Raw genomic sequence first — 25,742 nt, 5'->3', positions numbered from 1 at the left:
TTTTTCCATGGTTAACTCGGTCACATCCTGTCTGGGATCTCCAACTACTACCCATCCCACAAGTCTCAGCTAAAACAGCAATTCAATGAGGAAATTTTTTCTGAGGCTCCAGGATTGGGCCAGGCCCACTCCATGGCTCTCTGCCCTTCCCCTACTGCAGAACTTAGCACCCGTATGTCACTATTGGTTCAAACATGTGTCTTTCGTATGCTCTCCACGTTATCTGCAGCATCTGCCAAGAATAATAATGAATGGTAAAACCTAATTTCTATTGAGTGTCGATGATGCACTTTTAACCTGACATCTTATTTAATCCTCACTACATCTGCAAGAGTAGAAGATATTAATAGCCAATTTTCAGATAAGAAAATCAAAGCACAATTTCTATAACTTACCCAAGCAGCTAGCTAGGAGGCAGCTCAGTTTGAGCCCAGGGAATCATATTCTAGAGACCGTCTTCTCAATTACTAGAGCAGGTACCTCCCCAGAATCTAGCAGGTGATTAACGAATCTTTGTGGAATAAATGAACAGAAGGACAAGCAGATGGATGGATACATAGGTGGGTGAGTGGATAGATAGGTGGATGGAAAGATGGGTGGGCGGGCAGGTGGATGAATGAATGGATGGTTGAGTCGGTGAAGGGATGGCTGGGTGGGTGGAGAAATGGATGAGTGGGTGAGGGGGTGGAGGGATAGATAAATGGATGGACGGGTGTGTGGATAGATGGGTAGTTGAGTGAATGGGTGGATAGATGCATGGGTGAGTGGATGGATAGATGGGTTGGTGGGTGGGTAGGTGGATGATAGTTGGGTGCATAAGAGAGTGGGTTGGATAGATAGATGGGTGGGTGGGTGGATAGATGGGTGGGTGGGTGGATAGATGGGTAGGTGGGTGGATGGATGTATGCATGTCTGGATGGATGGATGGATGGATGGATGGATGGATAGAAGGAGGGGTGGACGGATGGATGGACAGATGAACAGATGGACTTGAGCATTTATTCGGGGTCCTCCAAAGAATTGAGTGATTTCCTAGGGTGTGTCATCACCTGCAGGTGGGTGGGCAAGGGGCTTGCCTCTGTAATACTCATGATTATGGGTAGTGCTCAGCCTTAGTCGCCACTCTCAGAACACTTTATTGACTAGGAAATTCAAAACTGGCATTGACAACTAATGCAAATTGCAGCTATAACTAACAGAAGATGTTGAGCTGATGACAGCTGGGCAACCAATAATCAATAACTTGGCTGGGTCATGTTACTGCCATGTTGGGCTGGTAGAGCCAGGGGTCCCTTAATCCCCCCATCACATTGAGGATGCTTATCAAGACTTCCCCAACCATGGGGACAGGGATCTTATCAAATACTTGCAGTTCACCCCAAAAGGCTCACCCTCTTCGTTCCACCTGCACATGACCTTCGGCTCAAAGACATTTCCAGTCCTCCAGGTCAGCCCTTCTTCCAGCCTTTGAATTAACCCTGATGACTGCCTGCCCATTAGGTGTCTTCACCTTTCATCACACATCCTTTTCCAAGGCTTTCCTTCAGTCCAGCCCTCACTAAACGCTGGAACTGTTGTTGACAAAATCCAGAACAAGCTGGCTGGGGGATACAGGTGGGAAGCAGGCTGTAGTAATGGGGAAAAAATCTAAGCAATCTCGAACACAGAAAAGAAACTGAACAGGTAAGAGAGAGGCAGTCAAGAGAAGAAGTGTTAATTTTGCATAACTGAAGCTGAAGAAGATCAGGGGGGCATGGCAGACCACAAGATAAATATGATATAGACTGCTTTTTAAAAAGCCACCCTTTCCTGTTGACAACTGTGCTTCAAATATTGCTAAGGTCTTTACTAAAGGTGAGTCAGAAAAACTGAGTATTTTATGCCATACAGTAAGAAGGCCCATAGGCAAGCATGTTCCTGACACCATCTTCTAGGATAACCCCTGGGATTCTGGTTACACCTATCCTAAAATTGTCTCTCATTCCTGCTGTTGGAGAGCTACCATGAGAGAAGAACCATAGTGAATTCGTTAAGAGTGTGCACCCAGCGACCAGCCAGATGGCTTCAAACCATCACTACCTACTACTGAGAAAGTTACATAATGTTCCTGAGCCTCAACTTTCTCATCTGTAAAATGGGTATGCCGTCATTCATTAATCAAATTCTAGGTGAGCATATACTAAACACCAGAGACACAAATGAGAATCAGGAACAGGTATGGCCCTGGTCCTCATGGTGACCACAGTCTTGAAGGGGAAGGATGACATGCACAGAAATAGGAATCCATAGCTGAGCTAGTGTCTACCACAGAGAGGCACCTGGTGTCATGAAAGCAGATAACAGGGGGTTGCTTTGACTGAGTCAGTGTGGCCAGGCGTCCCTGAGGATGTAGTGACTCCACTGTCAGATGAGACCGTGACCAGGTGAAGAGGCAGGGAGAGGGAAAATCTTTCCAGGCAGAAAGAGCAGGATGTGCAAAGGCCCTGTGGCAGGAAAAGAGCAAAGGAAGTGTAGGAGCCTGAAAGAGGCCAGAGAGAACAAGTGAACATGTGGATAATCACAGCACCCACCTCATACAGGACTTGCAAGAAATTGAGACCCTGTCTGTAACAGATTCAGCAATGACTAAATAGAAACTATCTCCTAAAAGCACAGGATGAGGCTCCTTGGTGGTATTTCCCATGTGAGGCTGCCATGGACTCAGAGGCCAAGTTCAACCTGCCTGTAGACAACCTCCAAGCCAGCTGGACACACATACACACTCAGGCTCAGGATACCCAGGACAGAGTTCTGGATGCTTGAAGTCATGATAAGTATCCAGAATGACACAGAATTCCAGCCGGGCATGGTGGCTCACACCTGTAATCCCAGCACTTTGGGAGGCCGAGGTGGATCACCTGAGGTCAGGAGTTCCAGACCAGGCTGGCCAACATGGGGAAACTCCCTCTCTACTAAAAATACAAAAAAAAAATTAGCCGGGTATGGTTGTGGGTGCCTGTAGTCCCAGCTACTCAGGAGGCTGAGGCAGGAGAATCGCTTGAACCCGGGAGGCAGAGACTGCAGTGAACCGAGATTGCACCATTGCACTCCAGCCTGGGCAACAAAAGTGAAACTCTGTCTCACAAAAGAAAGAAAAAAAAAAAAAAGAATGACACAGAATTTGCTAAAGGGGGAGAAAGGGCTTTCTTCCAAAGCTGGGCCTGATTTCTACAGAGTCTTCCAGATGAAAATTAAGCAGATCTTTGCAAGCACCTCAGAGGAGAACCCCTCACCCTGATGAATCAGACACACAGGTGGATCCAAGACAATTGGCTGCGTGCATGTGAACAAGCCTATGGTGGAAATGCAGTGCCTTGGGGTGGTTTAATCACCAGGAGGGAGAAGCTTCTAAAGCAGCATTCAGAGGTGGCTGTTGCCTGGGTTTTCTGGAAGGGGGAGGCGGTGAGGATGAGGGCTTCCATTTCATCTGCAGGCCCCTTGCAGAAGGAGCTGGGGAAGACTTTGCAGTCCTCTGCACACTGTTTGCCATCCTGTCTGGCTGGGCAGCTAAGCTCCAGATGGGGGCAGATGGGATAGCTCTTGCTACCGTATTTGGAGGGAGATGGCAGGGAAGTCAGCCCCCGTGAAGAAGACAGGAGCAGGCAGGTGCTGGACAGTGCTGCCCAGGCCCCTGGGGCTGAAGTGTCCAACCCCACAGCCTCTAGGTACCACTAAAGCAGCCCAAGAGGATCTTCTCTGTCCATCTCCATCCTGGCACCTACAGACACTTGGAGACAGTCCTTCACATGGGAACTCACAAATGCACACTGATAACCCCCACACGGAACTCTCATATGTAGCAAGTGAAAAGACAGGATGCCAGTTAAACTTGAATTTCAGATAAACAACAAATCATTTTTTAGGGTAAGCAGGTCCCAAATATTGCATGGGATATATTTGCACCAAAAAAAAAAAGGGTTAATGAGAAACTCAGGTTTAATTGGACGTCCTGTATTTTACCTGGCAAGCCTAACCCTGCATAAACACAACCTCGAGCTTGAAACTCAGAGAAGCCACGGCCGTGCTCACACACGTGCACAAACCCATATGCCTTAATATGCCTTACAGAGTCAAGGGCTGTGATGGGGGTCCCCACCCTTGCACACTTCCCTGTCCTCTGTCTGGGCTCAGAGTGAACAGGGGGTCACCTGGCATCCACGTCTAAGCTGGGCTTGGAGGTGTCCTAATGAAGCAGGATGCTGACCTGCACTTCCCCAGTTCAGCGGGGGCTGCAGCCAGGCCTAGCTTCCAGTCTCGGGCCTAGAACACACAGCACAGCCCCAGACCTTGGCAAGAAGCCTTCATCTCAAGGGCCACTGGTCCAGGACCTATTAGAAGCCCCACTTCTTTCCTCTGTTTCTGCTGCCATTGCCCCAGTCTCTGACCCTGCCACTCAATCACTCTATAAACACAGCAGGTACTAGGGGTGGCTCTGGGCTCGGCACTAAAGACATCATCCCTGGTAAAGCCACAGTCTAGCAATGACAGTCAGCCACGTATCAGCAACAGCCCTGCCCCACACGTGCTGACTGCGCACAAGGCCGGCGCTGTGAACGTGCTCTCAACAGTGATCTCACTGAACCCTCACGGCAGCTCTAGGATGCAGACAGTAGCATCACATTATCCCCATTTTACTTATGAGAAAACTGAGGCCCAAAGAAGGCAAACACAGGCCTCGGGATTTACAGTAACATTGCCAGGAATGTTTGAGAAAGCAAACTTCTCCAGAGTGAAGCAGTCTGCCAAAGCTCAGAAGCCAGAGTCCCTATTAGCAGGGGCTGGGGGGACTGGGGGCAGACAAGCGGGTAGGGGCTGGACCCCCCCAGGACACCAGGGTGCAGACTGGTGTGAGTAAAAGAAAGAGGCGGTCGTGCCATCATCTGCAGAAGATGATGTCTACAGAGGACAGTACCATGTGAGCCCTTGGGGAGCCGGATGACTGGATGGAATTTTGCACAGGATGCAAATTAAGCACAGATCCCCCTCAGACCTAGACAGCCCACCTCCAGGAACATCTCACAGAAATGCACGCACAGAGCACCAAGTGATATGTGCGAGGAAATTCATCAGAACACCGTCTGTGACTGGGAAAAGGCGGAAACCATCCACAGACGTATGGGTGCAGGGCTGGTTAAACGAAGCGTGGTGCATCCCCACGTCAGAATAACTGCTAGGAGAAGAAGGTGGTTCCCAGGTTCCAACGTGAGACAATGTCAAAGACATGCTGCCTGAAAAGCAGGCTTTCCAAAGAATAAATATAGCATTATTCCATTTTTATTTTTTTAAAAAGGTTACAATAAACACTTATGTGCAAATACATGTGCTTGCGTGCACAGAGGGAAATGGTGTGGACAGGAACAGAAAACCAAACTCTGCGTGTTCTCACTCATAAGTGGGAGTTGAACAATGAGAACACATGGACACAGGGAGGGGAATATCACACACCAGGACCCATCAGGGGTAGGGGACAAGGGGAAGGAGAGCGTTAGGACAAATATCTAATGCATGCGGGGCTTAAAACCTAGATGACGGGTTGATAGGTGCAGTAAACCACCATGGCACATGTACACCTATGTAAAAAACCTGCACATTCTGCACATGTATCTCAGAACGTAGAATAAAAAATAAAAAGAAATCAAAGAAAAAGGTGTGGAGAGGTATACCCCAACCCTTCCCAGTGTTACCTCTGAGAAGCAAGATCAAGAAAATCAAATCAAGAGAAAGTTTTATGTTTTGTTTTCTATATAAATTTTTTATTTTTTTATTTTTTTTATTTTTTATTTTTTGAAACATAGTCTCACTCTATTGCGCAGGCTGGAGTCCAAGGACACATTCTCGGCTCACTGCAACCTCGTCCTCACTGCAACCTCGTCCTCACTGCAACCACCTCCTCACTGCAACCTGCTCCTCACTGCAACCTCCTCCTCACTGCAACCTCCTCCTCACTGCAACCTGCTCCTCACTGCAACCTGCTCCTCACTGCAACCTCCTCCTCACTGCAACCTCCTCCTCACTGCAACCTGCTCCTTCTGGGTTCAAGTGATTCTCCTGCCTCAGCCTCCCAAATAACTAGGATTACAGGCACGCACCACCAAGCCTGGCTAACTTTTGCATTTTTTGTAGAGGCAGGGTTTCACTATTTTGGCCACCTGGTCTCGAACTCCTGGCCTGCCCACCTTGGCCTCCAAAAGTGCTGGGATTACAGGTGTGAGCCACCACACCTGGCCTGCATTGCTTGAATTCTCAGACCACATAGACCCTCTCATCTGGCCCAATTACAAGAGTCCAAGGCAGGAAAGGCAGAAGACAGGGGCTTACCCCTCCATCAGGACAACATAGAACAGCGTCAAAAAAGAAAAACATGAATGGATCAGTCAAGAGGGCCGTGCACGTGCCCTCCCAGGCACCTACACCTTGCAACTTAAGCCAATAGGCTTTCAAGCCACAGAATCTTCCTCCCCAGAGACTAGCAAGGACACAAGCCCTGGCCAGGCCCCTCCAAGAGGATGGTCTGAGGGACAAGGTGGGGAGCACAGTCAGGGGTGGCAGGAGGAAAGGGGAACACGAAGCCAAGGAAACCAGGGCGCCCCATGCTTCCTGAAGGCCACCAGGACAGGGCGCTACACAGAGCCCCTGTGTACCTGTTTCTACAACAGCCTGAACACAAGGAAAAAGAAAACAAGGAAAATGCACAAAGCCCAGCCTCACCTGGAGCAGGTTAAATAAAGGTGTGTGACTTTGTCTTCATGTCCTTTGGAACTGGAAATCCAAGCTTCCTCTCCTGTGCCTTTAAGGCCCTGGCTGCTGTCCCACAGCTCCCTCTCTTCCCTCCTCCTCCTATCCTGACTCTTTTTATTTTATTTTATTTTATTTTTTTGAGATGGAATCTTGCTCTGTTGCCCAGGCTGGAGTACAGTGGCACAATCTCAGCTCACTGCAACCACCTTCCGGGTTCAAGCAATTCTCGTGGCTCAGCTTCCCGAGTAGCTGGGATTATAGGTGTCACCACGTCTGGCTAATTATTGTATTTTTAGTAGAGACAGGTTTTCACCATGTTGGCCAGTCTGGTCTCAAACTCCTGGCCTCAGGTGATCCGCCCACCTCGGCCTCCCAAAGTGCTGGGATTACAGGTGTGAGCCACCATGCCCGGCCCTCTTGTACTAACTATGCCATCTCTTTGCAGTCTCCCTCGAGCAGCTTTTCCTGGGCCCGCACTTCCCCCTTCCAGAGCTGCATTCTCAAACCACCCGCCAATGCCCCCTGGCCCTGGCTCCTGCCCCGGGACTCTGATCCTCAGCTGGTGAGGTCTAGAGGGTCAGAGGGAGCCAGACTCCCTGGAGAAGCTAAGGCAGGAGCCCTGTGCTTTGGCAGGAGCTAAGCTAAGCTAAGGCAGGAGCCCTGTGGGTAACTTGCCCCCTTCCAGCTGGGGCTGAATATAAGGGGGAAAAGCTTCCCCCAGAATACAGGGCTCTCAGAGGCCCTGGGGATCTGTGCTGGCTGTCAGGAAGACTGTCACCTCAGCACAGTTGCCTGCAAGGAGGGCTGTGCAGGAAGCTGCATGTTGCTCAGAGAACAAAAAAAGGAAATTAAATGCACCATCTGGTTATTAGGATGAGCTTTTGAGGCAGACACTTAAATATGTATGCCTAGACATTGTAAAACTTGGGGGAAATGTTAGTTTCAATAACGCCAGTTCTTGTACTCACAGAAACTATTCTTTTATCTCTCTTCCTAGTCATTTGGGGGCTCCATCCCTCAGAGTGGCAGCGCCAAGACAGCTGGCCTCACTGGGTTTTGTAAGCTGTGCAAGGTGAGATCCCAAGCCCTTGCCTGGAGACCCATCTTAGGAAAATGTTAGAACAGGGCAACAAGTTGCCATTTCCTCCCTCCTTTCTCTTCCCCATACAAAAATCAGAAAGCACGCTAGCCCAGACCTGTGTACATTTTAAGGGTGGCTGGACTCATGGCCGCCTGGGACGTCAGGGTGGTACAAAGTCTTCTTAACCTAAGACTGTCAGGGTACAAGGATCAGCATGTTTTTTTCCTTTTTCTTGAGGGCCAGATGGTAAATAGTTCAGCATTGCAGGCCATAGGTCTCTGTCCCAACTATTCAACTCTCCACTGTAGCAGGAAAGCAGCCACAAGACAATATGCACTGAAATGGGTGTGGCTATGTTCCAATAAAACTTTATTTGTATGAACAGGCAGGGGGCTGGTTCTGGCCTGTGGGCTACAGCCTGCCTCCTCTGCTACAGCGTGATCTCCAAGGACCCATCCATCTCGTAGACCAGCAGCTGGCACACAGGAGCTGCTCAGATACTTGAAGGAGGAATGGAGAAGGCAAGCAGCCCCCAGTGAGCAGACGTGAGGGTCTCCCAGCAGCACCATCCTTTGCCATCTCATGCCGAGGGACAAAGCCAGAGCAGGGCTCTCCACCAAGGCTGGGTTCTCCTCCAAGGAAATGTGATAACAGGACAGAGAGCATCGTGGAAGGATAGGGGCTTTGGAGTCTCACAAACCACAGTTTGCAAGACCAGGAGCAACCTGCACTTCCTTGCACACACCCTGGGTGGGTGCTGGAGCATCTAGACTTAGAGTGAATCTTTTCTCCCTCCTCCCCCAACTGGCCTCCATTACACTTCCAGCAACAATGTGCTGTATGTACACGATGGAATACTATTCAGCCTTCAAAAAGAACGAAATGCTGCCATTTGAGACAACATGGATGAGCCTGGAGGATATTATGTTAAGTGAAATAAGCCAAGCACAGAACAACAAATACCACATGATCTCACTTATATGTGGAATCTAAAAAAGTTAAACTCGGCCAGGCATGGTGGCTCATGCCTGTAATCCCAGCATTTTGGGAGGCTGAGGCTGGCAGATTGCTTGAGCCCAGGAGTTCGAGACCAGCCTGCGTAACATAGCAAGACCCCATTTCTACAAAAAAATACAAAAATTAGTGGAGCGTGGTGGTGCATGCCTGTACTCCCAGAAACTCTGGGGGCTGAGTTGGGAGGATTGATTGAGCTTGGGAGGTCAAGGCTGCAGTGAGCCAAGATCACAACCCTGCACTACAGCCTGGGCAATAGAATGAGATTGTCTCAAAAAAAAAAGAAAGAAAAAGAAAAGAAAAAAGTTGAATTCACAGAAGCAGAGTAGAATGATGGTTGCCAGGGTGGGGAAGTGGGCAGATGCCAAAGGACACAGAATGTCATTTTTAGAGAAGAAGAATAAGTTCAGGATATCCATGGGACAACATGGTACCTATAGTTAATAACAACATATCATACACTTGGAAATCACTAAGAGAGTAGATTTTTAACTGTTCTCACCACAAAAAAATAAGTCTGGGAGGTGATATGTTATTTAGCTTGATTAGCCATTTCATAATGTATACATAATTCAATCACATCATGTTGTATACCCTCTTGTACGTAATTTTTGTCAATTCAATAAATTCAACAACTCCAAAAAACAAGACATTCTCTTTACAAAAATAATTATTAAAAATAAAATTCAGAATTCTATTTTATTTATTTATTTATTTTTGAAACAGAGTGTCGCTCTGTCACCCAGGCTGGCTGAAGTGCAGTGGTGCGATCTCGGCTGACTGCAACCTCTGTCTCCCACGTTCAAACGATTCTCCTGCCTCAGCCTCCCAAGTAGCTGGGATTACAGGTGTGTGCAATCACACCTGGCTGATTTCTGTATTTTTGGTAGAGACAGTTTCGCCATGTTGGCCAGGCTGGTCTCGAACTCCTGACCTTAGGTGATCCACCAGCCTCGGCCTCCCAAAGTGCTGGGATTACAGGTGTGAGCCACTGCGCCTGCACAGAATATAAAATATTCTTTAATTCAACTAAAACATTAAAACATAGATTATTTCTATAAGTGGTAATTGTTCTAACATGTTTTGGTCAAAATAGTCTCCTTACTCATCCACAATTAAATGGTTAATTGACATTTGATTGGATTTTGATAAAGGTTTCAAATCATGATTGACTTTTCCAATGTACAGTAAAAATGTTTGAAAATATTTCATAAAAATTAATATTTAAAAATGGTCAGGCATGGTATGGTGGCTCACGCCTCTAATCCCACACTTTGGAGGCCAAGGTGGGCCGGTCACTTGAGGTCAGGAGTTTGAGACCAGCCTGGCCAAACCTCATCTCTACTAAAAGTACAAAAGTTAGTCAGGTATGGTGACACGCACCTGCATTCCCAGCTACTTGGGAGGCTGAGGCAGGAGAATCCCTTGAATCTGGGAGGTGGGTTCCCCAGGCTTAGAGCAAAACCCCCATCTTGTCTGTCTCCACTCTCATCCCAGGCAATCGCAGTCATTTCCACAGCCTCAACTACTGTCTACCTGGGATGCCTCCCAAGCCCAAGTCTCCAGCCCAAACCTGACTTCCTAGCCCCAGACCCATCTGTCCTGGGACACATTGCCCCCTGGGTCCCAAGCAACCTCAGCCAATGAGTCCAATGTCAACTTCCTGTCCTTGCCTGACACTGCCAGCCCTGAGATCAGACTTGACCATTCACCTCCAGTACCTGATACGTCCATCAGTGCTTTGGAACATATCCCACAAACATTCCCCAAACCAGGCACCGGACCCCACACATCAACACAGTCATGTGAGTCACCAGCATCCCTGGCAGGGACCCCTGTCCCAGCCTCCAACTCATCTCCTTCCTGTCCGTTGAGTTCTGTGTCACATTCCAGAGGCCACAAGAAGAAAAATGACCAACTTAATGAAACTAAAAGAATTGAGAAGACATTTCCCTATGGTCCAAAGTCTTTCCAACTGAGAAACACATATCAAGATCCAGCCTGCCAGCCCTGCGGTTAAATGTTCCTGAAATAATTAAAGCCCAGGGTGACACAGCCCCCACTCCACAAGTACTCCCAGCACAGTAAGACTTGCTTCTCTGGAGGGGCTTGAAATGTCCAGTGTGTACCCTGCCCCTCTCTGTCATAGCTAACAGGAATGTGCTCCGTGTCTTCTTCCTGCTCAAAGGACCGTCCACCAACCTGCGCAGGCAGCACTTTCGGCCAGCGAGGGACGAGAGGACTTCCCACCATTTCCCACTTACGCACTGCATTCCTCAGGAACCTGCCTCACAAATTACAAGAGCACCACGGCAGACACACCACGTTCCAGCGGGTGGCCATGTCTTCATGTCAGCTTGAAAGATCATCGCCAGGGAAATATCTATATCTCAGCAGAGAGAGCTTCAGCCTGTGTAGTCCAGCTGTGCTCAAATGGAAATCCAGAAACCCAGATGCTGGTCAAAACACCCTGTCTTGGAGAGCCGGCTCTGCAGGTCCCCAGAGTGGGAGTGAACTGGGTGGGCCACCTGCCCTGCCTGCCCACATCCCTGCCTCCTGGAATCCTGGACCCTGAGAACCAGGGGGATGTGGTGGGGAACAGGCAAATCTTGTGCAGAAAGCCAAGATGCCACCCAAATCCACTCTGCAGTCTAGGTGGGTGATATTCTGGTCTGCACTGTACCAGCGCATGAAGGGATGGAGGATGGAGTCTAGACAAGCCAAACGTAAAAAGATATTGCCCAAGTATTTTGTGCTTTGTCTGTGTTACAATGCTATGCCCAGCCCAGCGTGGTGGCTCACACCTGTGATCTCAGCACCTTGGGAGGCCGAGGCAGGCAGATCACCTTAGGTCAGGAGATTGAGACCAGCCTGGCCAATGTGGTGAAACCCCATCTCTACTAAAAATACAAAAATTAGCCTGGTGTGGTGGTGGGTACCTGTAATCCCACTTACTCGGGAGGCTGAGGCAGGAGAATCACTTCAGCCCAGGAGGTGGGGGTTGCAGTGAGCAGAGATCATGCCACTGCACTCCAGCCTGGGCAACAGAGTAAGACTCCGTCTTAAAAAAAAATAAAATAAATAAATTCTATGCCCAGCATTTTCCATGTACTGTCTTATTATCTCAGTAAATCCCATATAACCTTCCTATGAAAGTGTATCTCATTTATCTCCATTTTATAGATGAGAAAACTGAGGCCCCTGGAGTAGTGTTAATTTTCCAAGACCGCGTTGCTCATAAAGGGTACAGCAGGGACCCAAGCTCGACACTCTCACCCTCAAACATTTCCACAAGTGTAGACCAATGGCTCTCAACTGGGGTGGTTTTGCTCACGTACCACTCCCTTGCTCCATGGCATTTGAAACCGTCTGGAGACACCTGGGGTAGCCATAGCTGGGAGGGTACAATGGCACCTAGAGGATGGAGACCAGAGATGCTGCTAACCATCCCACAATACACGGGATGGCCCCACCACCAGCACCACGAATGGTCTCACCCCAAATGTTGTGACTGTGGCAAAGCTGAGAAACCCAGGTTTCTCCTCAGCAAGAAGGAAAATCCCTGCAACGCGGATGCACCTCTACAGGAGCCCCAGGCTGACAATAACCTTCCTCATCTGATTTCAACCCTGGGTGCTTTTACCTGGTGCATCCATCAGGGATTTCAGGGACTCCAAAGAGTTATTACCCTCGAATGCTCGGTTCTGCCTGACAACCCAGAAATCTCTGCCGAGGTCCCTGGTCTTGAGGAAGGCTCAGCAAGTGGTTGAGGTTGATAACCAAATACCTAGGAGAGACTTTTCTCTCCCTCCAGGAGGAGCTGTGGGTCAGACACACCCTGGGATCATTCACAAGTGGTCAGTAAAGGCTTGGGGAGGGCCAGGTTTTCTAGGCCTTCTCAATGGGGTGGGTGTTTGTGGATACACAAGAAGCCTCTGAAACTTCTGATATTGGCAGGAAATCAATGCCCCCCACCCTCCACCCTCCACCCCCCCACCTCCCCACCATAAACACATGCCCTGCAGCAGGACTTGGCACTCAGGGGCTCCTGGGGGCCCGATTTACCTGCTAAAACATCCTCTAGCCACCACCGAATAAAGCAACCCCTTGCCACCCAACCACAGAAGCACAGCCTAGGAGCCACTCCAAGGGACATCCAGTCACATTAAAACCTCAGCCATCCAGAGCACCAGGCCTGATGATGAGAAAGAACATTTTATCCTTAAAAGCATCTGAATGCCCATGCTGCTTCTTGCAGAGAAAAGTCCAAAATAATCTGCTATTAAAGAACGAGGATGGTTTTGACATTTTTACCAAGCTAATGGTCTACGCAGACAAAATCTCATAAAAGGGCACTCTGTTCTTCTTGATCCACTCAGACATGGCCTGTGAGCGATGAAACGGGCTCTCCTCCTCAAAGAAATTGCTGCTGATCCTCACACCAGCCTGACACTGCTTCATGGGTTCTTCAAAGAGAGCATTCCCATAGAAACTAAAAGGTAAGAGGAACGTGTCTGGCGGGCATTGTGGGCAGCAGTGGGCTTTGGGCCAAATTTTAAGTTTGAAAATCAAGATTCCCTCTTTTCGAGGGGCCGCTGGACTGAGCAGATACAGACACCGTGAAAAGAGGGTGCCATGTTCAGATTCAGGAAACAAGGATGGTTTCTGTTCAGTTCCTACATCATCCTTCAGGTCATGTGATTCCCATTTCCCTCTGTGGACCAAGAAATTCAGTGGGGTTTCTGCCTTTTAAATATTTCATTATCAATATGTCATCCTTTTAGCCTTCGGAAATCATTTTAACATGGAGATTCTGGTTTAAGACACTTGTGGGTCTGTCTGTCTGTCTGTCTCTCTTTTCCTTGAAACAGGGTCTCACTTTGTCACCTGGGCTGGAGTGCAGTGGCATGATCACAGCTCACTGCAGCCGGACCTTCCAGGCTCTAGCAATCCTCCCACCTCAGCCTCCCAAGTACTTGGGACTACAGGCACACACCACCATACTTGGCTTTTTTTTTTTTTTTTTTTTGGTAGATATGAGGCTTCACCATGTTGCCCAGGCTGGTCTTAAACTCCTGGGCTCAAGCGATCCTCCCTCTTCGGCCACTCAAAGTGCTGGGATTATTGGCTTGAGCCACCACGCCCGGCCAAGAACCTTGTCTCTTGTGATGCACCCCAGAACAAAACATCACTGCAAAAACACACCAAGGCATGAGTTTCAGTCCTAAGTCCCATTTATCCACCATACACTATGTGCCAGGCACAACGCTAAGTGCTTCTACGGACGAGCTTCCCTTAATCTCAGCAGTAACAACCCCAGGCAATGGGGCCTGTTGATGGATCCATTTGCCACTGAAGACAGTAAGGTTCAGAGAGGGTAAGTGGCTTGTGCCATGTCAGCCAGCTAAGGAGGGGCAGAACCAGGATGCAAACTCCAGCCCCCTGGCTCCAGACTCTTGTTCCCAAGGTCCCACTACACTTGGTCACTCCACTGCATTCTGGTATCCTGGTCTTTGTCAGAGTCCATGTAAAAGAGGGATGTAGAGGGAGTAAGAGGGACTTCACGCAATAAAGTTTCCCGGCGTTACACTGCCACCGTAATTGTGTCCGCGACCAGGACCTCTCCCTTCCCATCCTTTCCGTGATCCGCCCTGGAAAACCTTCCAGAGAACTGTCCTCCTTCTCCCGGGATCTCAGAGAAAATTCACCTGAGTTCAGTGTCCAGGTGACCCAAGCTCTGAATGTAGTAAAGTGCACGGGGAGATGAGGATGTCACCATAAGCAAGCCTCCCAGACAGCATCCGGGAGCAACCCCAAGACTGGGCAGGGGGGCTCTGATGCAGCCCACGGCGAAGAGGGCTGCCCGTGCTGCCTAAATGGGTTCAGAATGAAGGCCGCCCTCTCTCCCATGTGGGGCTCATTCACCACGAATCAAATGATTAAGACACGCTCTGCTGAGCAAATGGTCAAACATAAAAATATGTGGAAGGAACAAAGCGGTCAACCCCATTATCCATCAAAAACCATCAAGGTGGCAGCCCTCACTGAGGGGTACAGCTCTCCAGCGGGCCTCATCTGCCCTCCAAACCCACGTGCCTCCTCAGTGGAAGGCCAGCAAAGCCACACAGGAAGAGTTGGGGTAGGAAAGCAGAAAGTGAACCCCAGGAGGCCAGGCTGGCCACGGAGCCCCATCGCACACACACAGGCCCGGTGACTCAGGGTTCCACGTGTGCAGGACACCGGGAGCTCACAGGGACAGCGCCCCGGGGGAAGCAAGGAACTTTGTCTCTCTGTCCCTCTCTGTAGGGATGGAAAGAGGAGAGCGATTTCTGGGATGTAAGCCATCTGCCTCCTCTCAACTCTCGCTGCCCAACCAGAAAGGGAAGAAAAACAGGAAGATGCGGGGCAGGTGAGGAGCTGGGTGAGCGCCGCCAGCCCGCAGCCCAGCAGAGCAGGGCTTGGCCAAGCCTGGCGCCAGCGACTTCCCCCCTGCCCCCGCCACAAGCCCCTCGCCAGGTGAAAGGCACCGGCAGAGTCCCAGACAGATGCCCCAGACAGGATGCCCGGGGCAACCCCCGCCCCTTCCCCTGCTGGGGGCCCCCAGGACGCGGGGCTCCCCTTCCCCTTTTGGCTAGCCGCAGAGTCCAGCGGGTCTCCAGGCCAGGGACGTCGTGGGAGAATCAGGAAGTCGAAGGCACACAGCCGAGAAGGGGCAGCTGGCGTCTCGGAGGCCGTCACGAGCTGTCACTCCGCGCCCGCCGGAGTTGCCGCTCAGTTACCAACTTCAACCCAGGGCCGGCCACGGAGCCTCCCGCCCACCCTACCCCGCGTCCCCGGCACCCCCGCGTCCCCGGCACCCCCGGACCCCTGCGCCCGCGTCACTTACTCCTCTGCCGTCGCCACCTGTCTGGGTGCCGGTCTCCTCCCTGCCTGACCTCAGCGCGTCCTCCCCGTCCTCGCAGTCGTCGGGCTGTGCGCTTCCCCCCTCCAGCAACAGCCGCAGTTCTTCTCCTAGGGAGGGACGTCGTCCTCCTCCCTCCTGGGCCGGCCATCCCTGCCTCGGGGCTTGCCAGTGGCTTTGGAGCTGCCCGAAGGGCTGGCCGTGGCTGCGGAGGCTCGGCCTGCACTTGGGGAAGAGGAAGGACCCGGCGCGAGCGGCCTCTCGGCGGAGCTGGGGCGTCTGAGCGCGAGCTCGGTGGGTCCGCGTGGCGCGGAGCTGGGAATCGGTGCCGGCGCGGGCTCCTCCGCAGGCCGCTCCTGGCTCTCTGGCGCCCTCTGCTGGCCGCTCGCGCGCACCGCGGACACGCCGGGCCGGGGCCTGCGCCTCGCTCACCTGCCCCGGCCTAGGCGGTCGCTGTCCCCTGCCCTTGGCCAGACCAGTTCCGGCCAGGCTCTGCACCTCCTCCCCGCCCCAGCCAGGTTGCACCCCGATGGTCTCCCTGCCCAAGGAAGAGAGAAGAGAAGGGACGCCCCGAGAGGGTGGACATCAGCCACAGCCACCTTGTCTTTGCTCTTACCCTGTGTCTTGCATGATTTGGAGGTGGTGGGAAAACCGAGGCTGCTCAAAACTCGTGGAGAATTCCGCCTGCAGGATGACATGAATGCACCTTCGCATTGCCTACCAACAGATCTTTTTTGAGCATCTCTGTGGACCAGGCGTGGTGATGGGAGAGGGGATATTGTCGTGAACATGACAGGCATGGCCTTCACACAGTGGGGCTCAGCGCTGGGTGACAAGGCATTGAGAACGGACATTGTCAATTGGGCAAAAGGAGGCCAAGGAGAAGTGCTGGGGTCATGGGAACTGAGAAAGACAGGAGGCTCAGCAGGTCTTGGAGCTGGGAGAGGGACAGCAGCAGCGGCTGTTCCAAAGGAAGCAACAGCTGAGAGAGGTCTCAGAGAGTTGTTCTCAGCCCAGTGGAGCATGTTCGGGCAGAGGGAACAGCGTGTGCAAAAGCCCAGAGGCTAGGAAAGAAGCAGAAAGAGGACTGTGGGGCTGGAGCATGGAGGGCGAGGGGAGAGAGGTGTGGTGGGCAGACAGATTGCCTGGGACCCAGCCGTGCAGGGACAGAGGAGATAGGGGATCCTTGCAGGCCCCCAGCCAGGGCTCAGGCACAGAGATAATGCAGGTGGGCAAAGAGAGGAGACGTGGAGAAATATTTTGGAGGCATGCCCTGATGAATGAGCCCAGGATGCACCCTTAGTGTCAGTGTGGAGCTCCTTCCTTGGCTGTGTGATAAGCTGAACCCGGGGGTATTTTCTGGACATCGAGGTGCTACACCAAGAGTCCAGGACAGGCTAAGTGAGCACCAGCAGCTCCTGGCCTACCTCAAAAGCAGGAGAGACAGGGGAGACTGGGGAGGCTGGGGAGGAAGGGGAAGCCAGGAAGGCAGGAGAGGCCAGGGAAGCAGAGGAGGCCAGGGAGGCAGTGGAGGCAGGAGAGGCTGGGGAGGCTATGTCCTTTCCATGATTCTGCCCGGGATCCTAGGCCCCTCTACTCCCTGAGCTTCCCCACCCCAAGCGCTGGAACCATGTTGCACAATGGTCTCCCCACTAAGCTCCTGATGGCGGCCCCTACCCTGCTGTGCTCCCTATTTCAACCCTAACAGCTCTCACAGTGGGCAGCACATAGGCGCTCAGGAAACACAGGTGGGAGAGCACATGGGTCTGCTCAGCACCTTCCTCTCTCCTCCAGCTCTCCCCTGTCATGAAATAATTCTGCTAATGACACATGGGCTTTGAGACCCTCTTCTATTACTTTCCATATGCTAATCCATGTATACCTCACAGCAGCCCTGGGGTTTGGTGCTATTAGATGCCCATTTTTACAGAGGAGGAGACTGAGGTATAAAGAGGGTAAGTGACATAGGCACAGTACAGGGGCTGGGGCCAAGTGATCGCAGCACTAAATCCCCAAAGGCAAGGTGGACGCAGTTACCATAAAAGACAACAGAGTCAAAGCTGCAACCAGAATTGCCTGACTTGCAGAGACCTATGCTGCCAGCTGATCGTGGCATTCCTAGAAGTGAAATAGGTAAGAAGCCTGCCACATTTTTACTTGATCTGTGTTTGCAGAAGGGTTCTAGGTCAGGTGAGTAGAAGTCTAATCTGAATCATAAAAACAGAGTCACAGTCTCCAGTCAATTCCCAGACATAAGCCAGTTCACAGACCGGGAGTCCTTTGTCTGAATGGGAAGCCAGGTCCCCTCCAAAAAGGACTCTGCTCCACTGCCAAAAATTTATACTGTCAATTTTTCTCCCAGCCTGCCCCTGAAGGAGTACACAGCCTTTTACTAGGATGACTGAACAGGGGAATAGAAACTAATGAGACCTATGCAGGATCACTGGACACAGGCTCTGAACTGGCACTAGGGAGAGACTAGGGTCTACCAGTCAGAATAGGCATTTTGGAGGTCAGGTGAATGTTGGTGCAAGTTCATGTCATGGTAGATCCATTGGGTCCCCAATTCCATCCTCTGGTTATATACAAAGTGGCCATGTTGAGATTCAAATTCAGGGCATCCAACGTAGAGGCTGTGCTCTTACTCATGAAACATTCTGACCCTACTAACCAATTTAAAAATGCAAACACCTCCTGCGGCTAGCGAGAGTCCTCCAAACAGTCACGTAAATTGGTTCTGTTAAGGATTTCCTCCTACCACCTGCTGAGAGCCAGTTGCAAGGAGAGACTAGGGAAGGGCATTGGGTAACTTTGTTGCTAAAAGCTCTTTTGGATAAAGACGTTTGGGAAAAGAAGCAAATAGAGTTCAGCAGAAGAGGTAAGAAAGTAAGTTTATGTTTGGCCAGGCACGGTGGCTCACACCTGTAATCCCAGGACTTTGGGAGGCCGAGGTGGGCAGATCACAAGGTCAAGAGATCGGACCATCCTGGCCAACACGGTGAAGCCCCATATCTGATAAAAATTCAAAAATTAGCTGTCCATGATGGCACATGCCTGTAGTCTCAGCTACTCGGGAGCCTGAGGCAGGAGAATCACTTGAACCCAGGAGGCAGACGTTGCAGTGGACAGAGATCATGCCACTGTATTCTAACCCGGCGACAGAACAAGACTCCGTCTCATAAAACAAACCAAAACAAACAAACAAACAAACAAAAAAGCAAGCTTATTTTTAAGCCTGAACAAATGTAGTGGTTTAGGGGTTCTGCAAATACGGCCCCAATCAGGCTACAAGATGTTGTGGCAGCAACACTTACACCCGGTCACTCCTGGCTGGCTGAGCCACTTTTCAAAACACCCTTGCACAGCTATGCAGAGTGGCTGGCTCCACTGGCAGCCGGCAGAGCCATAACTCACACTGTCACCACTCCCCTCAAACCCTTTCAGTAAGCACTTTCTTTATTTATTTATTTTTTTTTTTTTTTTTTTGAGACGGAGGCTTGCTCTGTCATCCAGGCTGGAGTGCAGTGGTGCAATCTCGGCTCACTGCAAGCTCCGCCTCCCAGGTTCATGCCGTTCTCCTGCCTCAGCCTCCCAAGTAGCTGGGACTACAGGCGCCCGCCACCATGCCAGGCTAATTTTTTGTATTTTTAGTAGAGACGGGGTTTCATCGTGTTAGCCAGGATGGCCTCAATTTCCTGACCTGGTGTTCCGCCCGCCTCGGCCTCCCAAAGTGCTGGGATTACAGGCGTGAGCCACCGCGCCCGGCCTGGTAAGCACTTTTAATCAATGCAACAGGAATAAACATTTGCTGCAGAGCGGCAATGTGCAGGGAGGAACATTGTTCCACTCAGGCTCAGAAAGCAAAACCTCCTGGCTGTTTGCATCTATGCGAGAGCTCGCAGGAAAAGCCCTCTGTGTGGCTGCCAGCCTCACACACTACCCCCAAGGGGTGAGTTTCTCTTTCCATGTTAATCTATGCCCTGATGTGCCATCTGTCAACCACCACACCATTCTCAGTTGACATTTCAAAGCATCTTTGCCCTGTGAATGGTCACCAGCCCTGCCCTGCAAGGCCCCAGGTGACATTGAACTTAAATGAGAGAGAAAACAGGTTTCGGGGTGGATTTCAGTTCAGCATCTTGGAATCTCTGTGTGGACATGAAATCTGTCTCCCCAGCCGTGGGCTGCATCCTTGTTTGTCATCTGGTTTGGTTGTTGTGAACTTGGAAACTCGTGGGCACCTTTGCAATTTGTCAAGAAGCTGCACGGCCCTTCCAACAAAAGCAAGCAATAGGAACAGAAGCCCAAGGCTTCAGATCAAGGTGCGACTTAAAGCAGCCTCAGTGTAAAAGGAAAGAGGAGTCAGAGGGATGCCTAAGGCAGAGTCTAGTCCCCAGGGAAGCTATAAGGCAAAGAGAAAGGGAGAGAGAGATAGACAGAGACAGAGACAGAGACAGAAAGACAGAGAGAGATGGGAGGAGCCATGAGGCGCCCAGGCCTCTGCATCAAAATCCCTACAAGAGGGGCCTCCTAAAAATGCAGGAGGCTGAGGTGGGCGCACACAGAAGTTCAAGACTAGCCTGGGCAACATAGAAAGGCCCTGTCTTTACAAAAAATACAAAAATCAGCCAGGTGTGGTGGTGCATCCCTGTGGTCCCAGCTACCCAGGAGGCTGAGGTGGGAGGATGGCTTGAGCCCAGGAGGTAGAGGCTGCAGTGAACCGAGATAGCACCACTGCACTCCAGCCTGGGCAATAGAGTGAGACTTCATCTCAAAAAAATTTTAAAAAATTTTTAAAAAGGATCACTCTGGCTACTTGAATGGATGATAAGAAGGTAAGAGCAGAAGCAAGGAGACCAGCAGTGAGATTCTGCAAGTGGCAGTCCACAGTGGCTCAGACCAGGCTGGCGCTGAAGACCTGCTGGATTCTGTATATATTTTGATGATGAAGCAACTCACTGACTCTTGAAGAGTGGTCTCTAGGAGACTGTATTTTTAACAAGCTCTCAGAGGATTCTAATGCAGGCTGAAGTTGAAGAACTCCTGATTTAGGTGAAGCTTCTGTTTCATCCTAGGGGAAGTACCTACTGAATTTTCTCCAAGCCACCTCAAAAGAGGCGCTAGACAAGATGTGCTCCAATGTCTGAACATGTGTGCACAGCTCTAGAGCCGACCTCAGGACACTGAGTCAAAAGTTAGGAGTACAACAGTGAACAACCACCATCCTCTTTTCAATGAGCTTTGCATTTAATGAGAGAAATAAAAAGCAAAAAAAAAAATCATTTTCAACTCACAATGGTAGGAGTTATGGTGACAGTATGCCTGGGGCAAGGGGAGCACAAAGAGGGGGCACCCAGTCGGCCAGGTGCAGTTGTTCATGCCTGTAATCCCAGCATTTTGGGAGGCCAAGGTGGGTGTATCACTTGAGGCCAGGAGTTCGAAAACAGCCTGGCCAACATGGTGAAATCCTGTCTTTACTAAAAATACAAAAAAATTAGCCAGAAGTGGTGGCGGGCACCTGTAATTCCAGATACTCAGAAGGCTGAGGTGGGAGAATTGCTTGAACCCGGGAGGCGGAGATTGCAGTGAGCCAAGATCGCGCCACTGCACTCCAGGCTGGATGGCCAGAGCGAGACTCCGTCAAAAAAAAAAGCCAGGTGATGGGTGGGCATGCAATCTCTATCAGGTGGTCAGAAATCCTTCTCCACCACAGGACTCCTCAGTTGAAGACTAGAAAATGGTAGGAATTAGCCAGGTCGATAGGAGAGCTGTGGAAGATCATTCCCAGCAGAGGGAAGAGCATGTGCAAAAATCGAGACGTGAGAGGGTGAGGAGCTGAGAGATGTTCATATAATTGTAAAAAGTGACTAATGTAGAGGTAAGTTAGAGCCAAATCTTAAAGGCTCTTTGTCATGTTTATCCTGTAGACAAAAGGAGACAGTAGATGTTTTTAGGCAGGGGAGTAATGATCCACTTTGTGCTATAAAAAGAGCAGTCTGGCTGGAGGAGAGTGGGAGGTGAGTAGACCAGGTGGGAGGTTGCAATACACCAAGTGAGACAAGATGGTTGGCTGGACCAAGGCTGTGGCAGTGAGGATGGAGAGGAGACAGTAGACTAACTTAACTGAGAAAGAGGGAGGAATGAAGGATGAGGCCCAGGTGTTTTGGAAGCTGGGTGGATGGTGGTGTGAATCTGACGTGGTGAGCCCAGGCAGAAGAGGAAATCAGGAGAGGAAAGGTAAGATGAGGTCAATGCAAGACAGACAGCCAAGTGGAGATAACAACTGGGCAGTTGGATTCATCAGCCTGGAGTTATACAGAGAGCTCTGGAATGGAAATAAAGAGGAAAGGATTTTGGGAATAGGTGAATCCTCCCAGAATAATGTGTAGAGAAAGGAGAATAGAACACAGGGGACAGAAAAAGGGAAGAGATTTGTTATTAAAACCAACAATCCATCAGACAACTTCCAATAAGACACTTGTTAGAGGTTTCCTCAGTGTGAGTTATTCAGGACCAGAGCTAAAGACCATATTCCCAATAACATCACTGCTGGGAAGGTCTTCATGAAAACATTTAATGCTGCTTTTAAAACAACAACAACAACAAAAAGGCGTTAGCTACTGCACAGACCCTGGAGCAATTTTTCGGCAAGAGTCTATCAAACACGAATCTGATTTGACTCAAGGAGGTGTCATATCAAGTGTAAAAATCCAATTCCAATGTCCATAAGAGCCTTTCTGCAAGGTAAAAGACCCTAATCCAGTTGAAGTGATTTTTATTGATTAATAGTCTGGGAATACACAGGTTTTTGGTTTTTGAGATTTTCCTCCCTGTGCCTTCATGCCAGCTGTGGAAGGGTCAAAAGGCTCCTAACTGTCAAAATAAAAACGACACTTGGTCACAGAGGAAACAGATTATAGGTCAATCACATTGATGACTTTTTAAATCTGAGAAGCCATTAATGTTACTGAATAAGCAAATCTGTTTGCATAACCAGATTTTTATAGGCTACTGGGAATAAAGGTTTTCCTAAGTGGGTGATTTGTACAACGATAGCCTTTGGGTATCTGATGGAACAGCTCTGATGAGGAAATGTTCCTTTAATTATGCGGAAGGCCAATTACCACATTATAGCCACATTGTTTTGCAGATTGCATATAATTTCACCATTTCCATAGCTTCAGCACTATAATTCTGGAGAAAATTCAGGCACCAAGAAGACACTTGAGGCACATTATGCTGGAGACAAAGATGTTTTAGCGAATTCAATTTAAGCTTCAACATTAAAGTTATTTTGTTGAATAAAGCATAATGCAATAATGAGCTTGTGTAAGTCAACTCTATAGTGGAGGTAATAGTAGCTAGAGAGAGCATGTCCCATCTCTTCTTTTTAATGCTCATTCGAGTAATACATAATGCTATAGAGAGAACCTTTCTCTAATATGTGCTTCATCTCAGGCTAAGCGTGTTTTGTGCAACTGTGCTTCATGAAAAAAAAAGGTAAAGGATCTAATTTGGGAGCCATTCACAAAAGTGCTACCACTTGATGTTATTTTATACTCTGAGATTTCTTATTCCCAGTGCCTACCAGGAATGGACTTTCTGGAGAAGCCCAGATTAATCACTCCTTCTGAGAGGTGACAGCGTGCTGGCAGCCATCACAGCCCTCGCTCACTCTTGGTGCCTCCTCTGCCTGGGCTCCCACTTTGGCAGCACTTGAGGAGCCCTTCAACCCGCGGCTGCACGGTGGGAGGCCCTTTCTGGGCTTGCCAAGGTCAGAGCTGGCTCCCTCAGCTTGCAGGGAGGTGTGGAGGGAGAGGCATGAGCCGGAACCGGGGCTGCGTGCTTCTTGCCTGCCGGCTGGAGTTCCGGGTGGGCGTGGGCTTGGTGGCCCAGCACTAGGAGCTGCCAGCTGGCCCTGCCGGCCCCGGGCTGTGAGAGGCTTAGCACCTGGGCCAGCAGCTGCTGTGCTCGACTTCTCGCTGGGCCTTAGCTGCCTCCCCGTGGACAGGGCTTGGGACCTGCAGCCCAACATTCCTGAGCCTCCTCCCTCCATGGGCTCCTGTGTGGCCGGAGCCTCCCCGACAAGCACTGCCCCCTGCTCCACAGCGCCCAGTCCCATCGACCACCCAAGGGATGAGGAGTGTGGGAGCACGGAGAGGGACTGGCAGGCAGCTCCACCTGTGGTTCCTGTGTGGGATCCACTGGGTGAAGCCAGCTGGGCTCCTGAGTCTGGTGGGGACTTGTAGAACCTTTATGTCTAGCTAAGGGATTGTAAATACACCAATCGACACTCTGTATCTAGCTACTATGGTGGGGACTTGGAGAACCTTTGTGTGGACACTCTGTATCTAGCTAATCTAGTGGGGACGTGGGGAACCTTTGTGTCTAGCTCAGGGATTGTAAAGGCACCAATCAGCACCCTGTCAAAACAGACCACTCAGGCTCTCTGTAAAATGGACCAATCAGCAGGATGTGGGTGGGGCCAGGTAAGAGAATAAAAGCAGGCTGCCCAAGCCAGCAGCGGCAACCCGCTGGGGTCCCCTTCCACACTGTGGAAGCTTTGTTCTTTCGCTCTTTGCAATAAATCTTGTTGCTGCTCACTGTTTGGGTCCGCACTGCCTTTATGAGCTGTAACACTCACCGAGAAGGTCTGCAGCTTCACTCCTGAAGCCAGCAAGACCATGAACCCACCAGGAGAAATGAACAACTCCAGACATGCAGCCTTAAGAGCTGTAACACTCACCATGAAGGTCTGCAGCTTCACTCCTGAGCCAGCAAGACCACAAACCCCACCAGAAGGAAGAAGCTTCGAACACATCCGAACATCAAAAGGAACAAACTCCAGACACGCCAACTTTAAGAACTGTAACACTCACCAGGAGGGTCCACAGCTTCATTCTTGAAGTCAGTGGGACCAAGAACCCACCAATTCCGGACACACTTATACACTTGGCACTGGGAGGTCTGTATGGAGCAAGTGAAGAAATCAGCAGAGTGAAGATAGAGGGAGAACAACACGATGGGGGAAAGGCAAAGTTACTGCCATGTTGGTTTCAATTCTGCCACTCATGAGCGAGACCCATGACCTCCTCTCTCTAGGACTCTGTTGTTCTTATCTGTAGAGTGGAGGAATGGAAGGGCATTTTAAAGTATTAACATTTCCTGACCTATCTGTAAAACACTTTCATTCAAATTGATGGGAATCTTGACTACTTTGCCAAGAGGACATAATAATCATCAAGCTGAATGCACCAAACAACATTGCCTGAAACTATCTAAGCAAAAACTGAGAAAGTTACACAGGACAGACAAACCTCCTATAAGAGTAAGAACTCTTAAGCACATGCTTAGTGTGTCAAAGACAATGCTGTGTTCACACCATTCCTCTTCCTGAACATGCAGAAAGACTACATTTCCCAGCCTTACTTGCAGTTAGTTTGGAACCATGTGACTGCATTTCCACCAATAGGAATGTAAGAAATCCCTTCAGGCCAAGGTCATCAAAGGCAAGTGTGAGCTATGTTCCCTCTCTTCTTAACCATATGGCTACAAGTGAAAAATTCTGAGATGGCAGAATTAAAAGATGGAAATCTCCAGAATCTCTGAATCACTGTTGGACAAGGGCCCCTAAGGAGAACCCCTGCCCTGCACCAGACTATGCTATGGGTGCCAACGCACTGAGAGTTCAGGGCTTATTAGTCTTAGCAGCAGTCTATTTTTACACTGACTAACATCCTAAGATTTGAGAGATTTAGCATATTGTTAATTGAAGCTAGATTTCAATTACACTGAGAACCTTATCTATTTAAAAATAAAAACTCTCCTAAAAAAACAAATAATCCACATTCCTTTTAACCACATGTGGCAAATTTGCAAAAAAAAAAAAAACTGGCCACATATTAGGCCATAAAGAAGTCTCAACCAAATCCACTATACGATTGACATTGTCCAGACCACATTTTCCTG

General features: G+C 49.9%; 1 annotated feature.

Moving 5' to 3' along the window:
* Positions 15,740-16,034: a silencer, noted in NCBI's record as "tiled region #9254; HepG2 Repressive non-DNase unmatched - State 4:PromP, and K562 Repressive non-DNase unmatched - State 8:EnhW". NCBI's record gives its function as "represses a minimal TATA promoter and a strong SV40 promoter by Sharpr-MPRA in HepG2 and K562 cells {active_cell/tissue: HepG2 | K562}" and the evidence as "EXISTENCE:reporter gene assay evidence [ECO:0000049][PMID:27701403]".

Source organism: Homo sapiens, chromosome 4 (genome assembly GCF_000001405.40).
Source record: "Homo sapiens chromosome 4, GRCh38.p14 Primary Assembly".
NCBI lineage: Eukaryota > Metazoa > Chordata > Mammalia > Primates > Hominidae > Homo > Homo sapiens.
This window is presented reverse-complemented; position numbering and strand designations above follow the sequence as displayed.